Genomic DNA, 9,001 nt, shown 5'->3' with positions numbered 1-9,001 from the left:
GTGGAGCATTCATGGAGAACCTCTACTAAAACAATGGAGAAAAGAAATGTGGGGTGACAGTCCCCATGCAGGCTCCCCACTGGGGCATGGCCTAGTAGATCTGTGAGGAGAAGGTCACTGTCCTCCAGACCGCATAATGGTAGATCTAGCTACAGCTTGCACCTTGCACCTGGAAAAGCCAGAGACACACAATACCAGCCAGAGGTACACAATGCCAGCCCATGAGAGCAGCTATGGGGGCGGAACCATGCAAAGTCACAAGGTTGAACCTTCCCAAGGCATTAGTGTGCCCTGGAAATGGGACACAGAGTCAAAAATAATTATTTTAGAGCCTTATAATTCAGTAACTGCCCTTCTGGGTTTCAGACTTTCGTGGGTCCTGTGGCCCCTTTCTTTTGGCTGATTTCTTCCTTTTAGAATAGGAGTATTTACCCAATGCCTCTGCCCCATTTGTATCTTGGAAGTACCTAACTTGTTTTTTTATTTTACAGGCTTATAGGAGGAATAAACTAGCTTTGTCTTAGATGAGACTTTTGACTTTTGAGTTAAGGCTGAAATGAGTTAAGACTTTGGGAATTATTGGGAAGTCATGATTGTATTTTGAAATATGAGAAGGATATGAGATTTGGAATGGCCAGGGCAAAATGATATAGTTTGGGTGTGTGTTCCCACCAAAATCTTATACTGAAATGTAATCCTCAATGTTGGAAGTGGGCCTAGTGGGGAGGTGATTGAATCAAGAGGGCAGGATTTCCATGAAGAGTTTAGCATCATTTCCTTTGGTGCCATTCCCACAATAGTAAGTTTTCACGAGAGCTGGTTATCTACAAGTGTGTAGCACTTACACTCTGCCCTCGCACTTACCATGTGATGTGCAAGCATCGGATTTATTTTTCACCTTGTCAGTTGCCAGAGGCTTCCCCAGAAGCAGAAGCCAGTGCTATGCTTTCTGTACAGCCTGTAGAACCATGAACCAATTAAATCTATTTCCTTTACAAATTAACCGGTCACTGATTTTTTTTTATAGCAATGTGAGAATGGCCTAATACATCCACCAAAAAAACTATTAGAAGTAATAACTTGAGTAAATTTGCAGAATACAAAATCAACATATACAAATCAGTAGGAATGCTATATGCCAACAGTCAACAAAGTGAAAAAGAATTCAAAAATGTAACACTATTTGCAATAGCCACAAATAAAACACAATGTGTGGGAACTTACCAAAGAAATAAAAGTTCTCAACAATTAAAACTGTAAAACACTGATAAAAGAAATGAAAAAGGACCCAAAAATTGGAAAGATATTTTTATGTTCACAGATTGGAAGAATCAGTATTTTTCTAAAATGTCCATACAATCCAAAGAAATCTATACATTTCATGCCATCTCTATCAAAATAACAGGCCAGGGGCAGTGGCTCATGCCTGTAATCCCAGCACTTTGGGAGGCCGAGGTGGGTGGACCATGAGGTCAGGAGTTCAAGACCAGCCTGGCCAAATTTGTGAAACCCCATCTCTACTAAAAATACAAAAAAATTAGCTGGGCATGGTGGCGGGTGCCTTCCCAGCTACTCAGGAGGCTGAGGTAGGTAATTGCTTGAGCCCAGGAGGCAGAGGTTGCAGTAAGCCGAGATTGCATCACTGCACTCCAGTCTAGGTGACAGAGCGAGATGCCATCTAAAAAAAAAAAAAAAAAAAAAGACATTCCTCACAGAAACAGAAAAAAAATTCTGAAATTTATATGGAACTGTCACAAAACACCATAATAGTCAAAGCTGTGCTGAGTATATAAAACAAAACTGGAGGAATTCCATTACCTGGTTTTAAATTATACTACTAAGTTATAGTAATTAAAACAGCATGACACTAGCATAAAAACAGACATAAAGCCAAATGGAACAAAATAGAGACCTTAGAAACAAACTCATACAGCTAAGCTAAACTTATTTTCAACAAAAGTGCCAAGAATATACAACAAAAAATAAGACAGTTTTTGTAATAAATAGGGCTGGGAAAAGTGGCAGGTCATAGGCAGAAGAATAAAACTAGAACCCTATTTCTTGCCACATAAAAAATCAAATTAAAATGAATTAAAGACTTAAACCTAACATCTCAAACTATCACATTTTTACAATAAAACATTGGGGAAACCCTTTAGGGCATTGGTTTGGGCAAAAATTTCTTAAATAGTGCCCCATAAGCACAGACAACCAAAACAAACACGGGCAAATGGGATTACAGCAAATCAGAAAGCCTTTTTAAAGTGAAGGAAACAATAAACAAAGTGAAGAGAAAATCCACAGAATGGGAGAAAATATTTGTAAGTTATCCATCTGAAAGGCAATTAATAGCTACATGATATGGTTAGGCTTTGTGTCCCCACCCAAATCTCATATTGAATTGTAATTCCCAGGTTTTGGGGGAGAGACCCGGCAGAAGGTGATTGGATCATGGGGGTGGTTTCCCCCAGGCTGTTCTTCTGATAGTGAGTGAGTTCTCATGAGATCTGATGGTTTTATAAGGGACTCTTCCCCCTTTGCTTCACATACATGCTGTCTCGCCTGCTGTCATGTAAGAGGTGACTGCTTCCCCATCTGCCATGATTGTAAGTTTCCTGAAGCCTGCCAAGCCATGTGGAACTGTGAGTCAATTAAACCCATTTCCTTTATAAATTACTCAGTCTTGCCAGGTGCAGTGGTTCATGCCTGTAATCTCACCACTTTGGGAGGCCAAGTGGGGGGTGGATCACGAGGTCAGGAGTTCAAGACCAGCCTGGCCAAGATGGTGAAACCCTGTCTCTACTAAAAATACAAAAATTAGCCAGGCATGGTGGCAGGTGCCTGTAATCCCAGCTACTCAGGAGGCTGAGACAGAGAATTGCTTGAACCAGGAGGTGGAGTTTGCAGTGAGCCGAGATTGCACCACTGCACTTCAGCCTGGGTAACAGATCAAGACTTCATCTCGTTAAATAAATAGATAACCCAGTCTTGAGTATTTTTTTTTTTTTTTTTTTTTTTTTTGAGACGGAGTCTCGCTCTGTCGCCCAGGCTGGAGTGCAGTGGCGGGATCTCGGCTCACTGCAAGCTCCGCCTCCCGGGTTCACGCCATTCTCCTGCCTCAGCCTCCCAAGTAGCTGGGACTACAGGCGCCCGCCACTACGCCCGGCTAATTTTTGTATTTTTAGTAGAGACGGGGTTTCACCGTTTTTAGCCGGGATGGTCTCGATCTCCTGACCTCGTGATCCGCCCGCCTCGGCCTCCCAAAGTGCTGGGATTACAGGCGTGAGCCACCGCGCCCGGCCGAGTATTTTTTTATAGCAGTGCTGAAACAGACTAATACACTACAATATATTGAGTTCAAAAAATTCTATAAAAATATAATAATCCAATTAAAGAATGGACAAAAAATTTAAATAGACATTTATGAAAAGAAGACATACAAATGTCAAGCAGGCAAATGAAAAGGTGCTACACATTACTGATCATCATAGAAATGCAAATCAAACCCAAAATGAGATATCATTTCACCCCAGTTAAGGTGGCTTTTATCCAGAAGTCAGTCAAAAACCAATGCTGGTGAGTATGTGGAGTGAAGGGAACCCTTGTACACTGTTGTTGGGAGCACAATTAAGGACAGTTTGGATGTTCCTGATATAACTAAAAATAGAGCTACTATAAGGTCTAGCAATCCCACTGCTCAGTATATGCCTAAAAGAAATAAAATTGGTAGATCAAAGACATATTGGCACTCTCATATTTGCTACAGCAGGGTTTATAATAGCCAAGATTTGGAAGGAACTTAAATGTCCCTCAACAGCTGACTGGATAGAGAAAATATGGTACATATACACGGTGGAGTACTATTCAGCTATAAGAAAGAATGAGAGTCTGCCATTTGCAATAACATAAATGGAACTGAAAGTCTTTATGTTAAGTGAAATAAGTCAGGCACAGAAAGACAAATGTCACATGTTCTCACTTATTTGTGTGTGCTAAAATTCGAAACAATTGGTGTCATAGAGATAGAGAGTATAAGGATGGTTACCAGAGGCTGGGAAGGGCAGTGAGGGAACAGGGTGTTAGTGGGGATGTGAAATGGGTACAAAAAATTGTTAGAAAGAATGAATAAGACAGCATTTGATAGCACAACAGGGTGACTATAGTCAAAAATAATTTAACTATACATTTTAAAAAACTAAAAGTATAATTGGATTGTTTATAACACAAGCTATACATGCTTGAGGGGATGGACACCCCATTTTTTTATTATGCATTACTCATTGCATGCCTGTATCAAAGTATGTCATGTATCCCCATAAATATATACACCAACTATGTACCCACAAAAATAAATTAAAAATTGAAATCAAAATTAAAACCAAAGGGAGGAGAGTATAATGAGGCCTGTGTGACCCATGGCTTGAACTAGCTTTTCATGTTAACTTTGGAATGTCCTTATCCAAGAAGAGGTGTCCATTTAGTCAATAGGGGCTTAGAAATTTATTTTTAGTTTATTTATTTTTAGTTTAGTTTATAGCAATAACCTCTCCATCATTATGACTAGAAGTTGAAATGTGGTATTTAACAACCCTACATGATAAGATCAGATATGCCTGTTTAGTGACAGCCTACTTTATGACAAAATTTATTTTTCATTTATAAGTGGAAAAAAGGATTTTTAATCCTGAGCCATAGCTCTCAGTCAATCAATCCCTGCAGGGAACCCTGTTATTTTCCACTGAATAACACCACATTTCAAAGTGAGGGGAAACATCTTGAAACTAAGAGGTACAGCCTTATTAAATTTGATTTGGTTTCAATTGTAATTAATTTAATCACATGCATTCTAGAGTTTGTCCTTAGTCTTCTCCTACTTTAGGCCCATGATCTGTTGAATTTGCTCAGCTCCCTGCTCAACAGCAGGAAATCAGTTAGAATTATTTAAAAATCTCATTGTGGCTGGGAGTGGTGGCTCATGCCTGTAATCCCAGCAATTTGGGAGGCCCAGGTGGGCAGATCGCCTGTTGTCAGGGGTTTGAGACAAGCCCAGCCAACAGAGTGAAATCCCATCTCTACTAAAGATACAAAAATTAGCTGGGTGTGTTGATGCATGCCTGTAATCGCAGCTACTTGGGAAGCTGAGGCAGGAGAATTGCTTGAACCCGGGAGGTGGAGGTTTCAGTGAGCCAGGATGGTACACTACAATCCACCCTGGGCAACAGAGAAGACTCTGTCTCAAAATAATAATAATAATAAATAAGTAAAAATAAAAATGTCATTGTGTTTCAAATTTCTCTTGAATATCAACTGTATCAACTTGCATATTACCTATAATCATTTTGCTTACTTTATATCCAATCTTGAGAAATCTTTGAGGACTAATTTCACTCTTTTCTGCCATTTTGGTAAACATACCAAATTCCATCAAACAAAATGCACAGAATTCCTGAGAAATACATTTTCTCCTTGAGCAGTAGACTTATTGTGTTAGAGGAACTCATGAATAACAAGCTTCTAGTTTAGTAAACATGACTAGAATACTCTATCTTAATATGAGTAGCTAGGTACTCACAAGGCATCTAGAAGATTAATGCTCATGGTCTGAAAATAGCCACATTTTTTAGCTGGCCACAAATTATAACTGGAGAATATTTGTGGTCATACAAGACATATTCCACCAAGCCTGAAAAACGTATACATGTCCTAGGAGTGCAGCATTTTTTTTGTAAGGATAATATTAATGAGCTTGCTTAGGTCAATGGGTTAATGGTCATTGTTAAAACCAATAGCCCCGACTTTAGTGAGTACATTTGCACCTTCCAAGTTTAATTATAACTCTTTGTCTTTATAGTTACTTATAAGAAGAGACACTAACAAAAGACAATGCATTCCTGCTCTTGTTTGCTGAGGGTGTCCAACTCTAATGGAGTCATTTCTAGTAAACTTGCTTCTTTCACTGTGCTCTCTGACTCACCTCAATTTTTTTCCTGCACAAGATCTAAGAATCCTACTTTGTGGTCTGTATCAGGACCCTCTTTTCCAGCAACATCTTTCAGCAACACCATGAAGGGACACCAAGACAAGACCCCCACTCCAAGGAAAACAATCCACACAGAATCAGTCAGCTGACACCTGGCAAGTGGGCCGTCTTTTAGAGTCGTGAAGCCATTCTGGTGGGCAAGAATGATGATCCACTACTACTTAAGCAAGAGGCCCTAGGGCATAATGTTAGGGTGAGACACTCAGCCCCAAAAATTAGAGGCCCGGGGGCATCATACTCAGATTAGAGGCCAAGCTCACAGGGTTAGAGGCCCTTGGGAATATTGAGAAGAATGGATTTGGCTAAACAAGATGTTTGCCACTTTCTCTTTTTGGACTGTCCACCTTGTGCTCTCTGTCCCTCACCTGAGTGCTCTGTATCTTGTCACCTTTCTGCTCACCTCCTCTGTTTTGTAGTAGCCTGGAGGCTGCCCCAGGAAAGAGGCCCCAAACAGTTTAGCTTTTGCTTTCCTCAGCGATCCTCTGACTTTTAGCTGATTGCTTGTTTAATTTGCCACTGGTCCAAGTGACACTGAAAAAAGAGAGATGTCTTGGAACCTAGTATTTTTGTACCTTAATTATCAGAAAAAAAATCAGCAATAACCTCTCCATCATTATGACTAGAAGTTGAAATGTGGTATTTAACAGCCCTACATGATAAGATCAGATATACCTGTTTAGTGACAGCCTCTTTTATGACAACCCTCTGCAAACAATTAGCCTCAAGATGGAGAACATGGGACTTTTTCTTAACAGTTTTCTCTCATTTCTTAACCATAACGCCATCTTTGATGAGCTGGTATAGGGCAGCTGGACCCTACTTTCTAAACCCAGTATCCCACTTTTTTCCTGACAGAGTTTTATCAGTTTTGTCATAGCAGTGTGAAAATGGACTAGTACATTACAATATACAAGTTACAGCCTTCCCATTTCCCCTGTTCAGTCTGACTCCTTTTTTTGCAGCTTAATTTGTTTTATAGAAGAGAAACTAAATGGGAGGAAATACTTTACATATAGGCTTCTCTGATGCTTGGTCAGGATAAAAAATTAAAATGGGCTTCTATATGTTTGATGGAGGAAAAGACAAAATAGGGATGGCACGTAATTGATTACCCTTTTAATGCAAGTGCCTCTTAATATTAGGCTTTTCTTAGCTGGGGCTGAACTCCCCCTGCCAGTCCGACAACCCCATGAGAACACAGTCAGACTCCTTCCAGTTCTGGTGAGGTGTGCAACATGTTATTAATTTCTTCTAGTTTTCCAGGGTTATCTAGTGTCTGGTCATCGTCTTCTCCCTGCCCTTCGAGTCCTGTCTTAAGTACACACCCCACTGTCGGAACACGTGAGCTTCACCAGAACAACATGCAGTGGGGCCTCTTATCAGCTGGCAAACTTGAATGTTTGCCCTCTCTGGGAAGTGACAGATGATAAAAAGGACACTATATAGGTATATGTACCCTTTTCTATGTCTGAACTAGCCATATACAAGGAAAAGCTAAAACAGTTTTCAGAGGTGCCTGAAAATTTGTAGACAAATTTAAGAGGCTAACCTTGTTTACGATCTGGCCAGGCAGGACTTGCATATGTTTATGTTTTCCTGCTGCATGGCAGAAAGGCAGTGTGTTATTCTCTTTGAAGCAGTTGTGAATGGGAGTTCACTCATGATTTGGCTCTCTGTTTGTCTGTTATTGGTGTATAAGAATGCTTGTGATATTTGCACATTGATTTTGTATCCTGAGACTTTGCTGAAGTTGCTTATCAGCTTAAGGAGATTTTGGGCTGAGATGATGGGGTTTCTAGATATACAATCATGTCATCTGCAAACAGGGAAAATTAGACTTCCTCTTTTCCTGATTGAATATCCTTTATTTCCTTCTCCTTCCTGAATGCCTTGGTCAGAACTTCCAACACTATGTTGAATAGGAGTGGTGAGAGAGGGCATCCCTGTCTTGTGCCGGTTTTCAAAGGGAATGCTTCCAGTTTTTGCCCATTCAGTATGATATTGACTGTGGGTTTGTCATAGATAGCTCTTATTATTTTGAGATACGTCCCATCAATACCTAATTTTTTGAGAGTTTTTAGCATGAAGGTTTGTTGAATTTTGTCAAAGGCCTTTTCTGCATCTATTGAGATAATCATGTGGTTTTTGTCGTTGGTTCTGTTTATATGCTGGATTACATTTATTGATTTGCATATGTTGAGCCAGCCTTGCATCCCAGGGATGAAGCCCACTTGATCATGGTGGATAAGCTTTTTGATGTGGTGCTGGATTCGGTTTGCCAGTACTTTATTGAGGATTTCTGCATTGATGTTCATCAGAGATATTGGTCTAAAATTCTCTTTTTTTGTTGTGTCTCTGCCAGGCTTTGGTATCACGATGATGCTGGCCTCATAAAATGAGTTAGGGAGGGTTCCCTCTTTTTCTATTGATTGGAATAGTTTCAGAAGGAATGGTACCAGCTCCTCCTTGTACCTCTGGTAGAATTAGGCTGTGAATCCATCTGGTCCTGGACTTTCTTTGGTTGATAAAATACCTAGGAATCCAACTTAAAAGGGATGTGAAGGACCTCTTCAAGGAGAACTACAAACCACTGCTCAATGAAATAAAAGAGGATACAAACAAATGGAAGAACATTCCATGCTCATGGGTAGGAAGAACCAATATTGTGAAAATGGCCATACTGCCCAAGGTAATTTATAGATTCAATGCTATCTCTATCAAGCTACCGATGACTTTCTTCACAAAATTGGAAAAAGCTACTTTAAAGTTCATATGGAACCAAAAAAGAACCTGCATCGCCAAGTCAATCCTAAGCCAAAAGAACAAAGCTGGAGGCATCATGCTACCTGACTTCAAACTATACTATAAGGCTACAGTAACCAAAACGGCATGGTGCTGATACCAAAACAGAGATGTAGACCAATGGAACAGAACAGAGCCCTCAGAAATAACGCCACATAT

This window comes from Homo sapiens, chromosome 4, assembly GCF_000001405.40.
Source record: "Homo sapiens chromosome 4, GRCh38.p14 Primary Assembly".
NCBI classification, from domain to species: Eukaryota; Metazoa; Chordata; class Mammalia; order Primates; family Hominidae; genus Homo; species Homo sapiens.
This window is presented reverse-complemented; position numbering follows the sequence as displayed.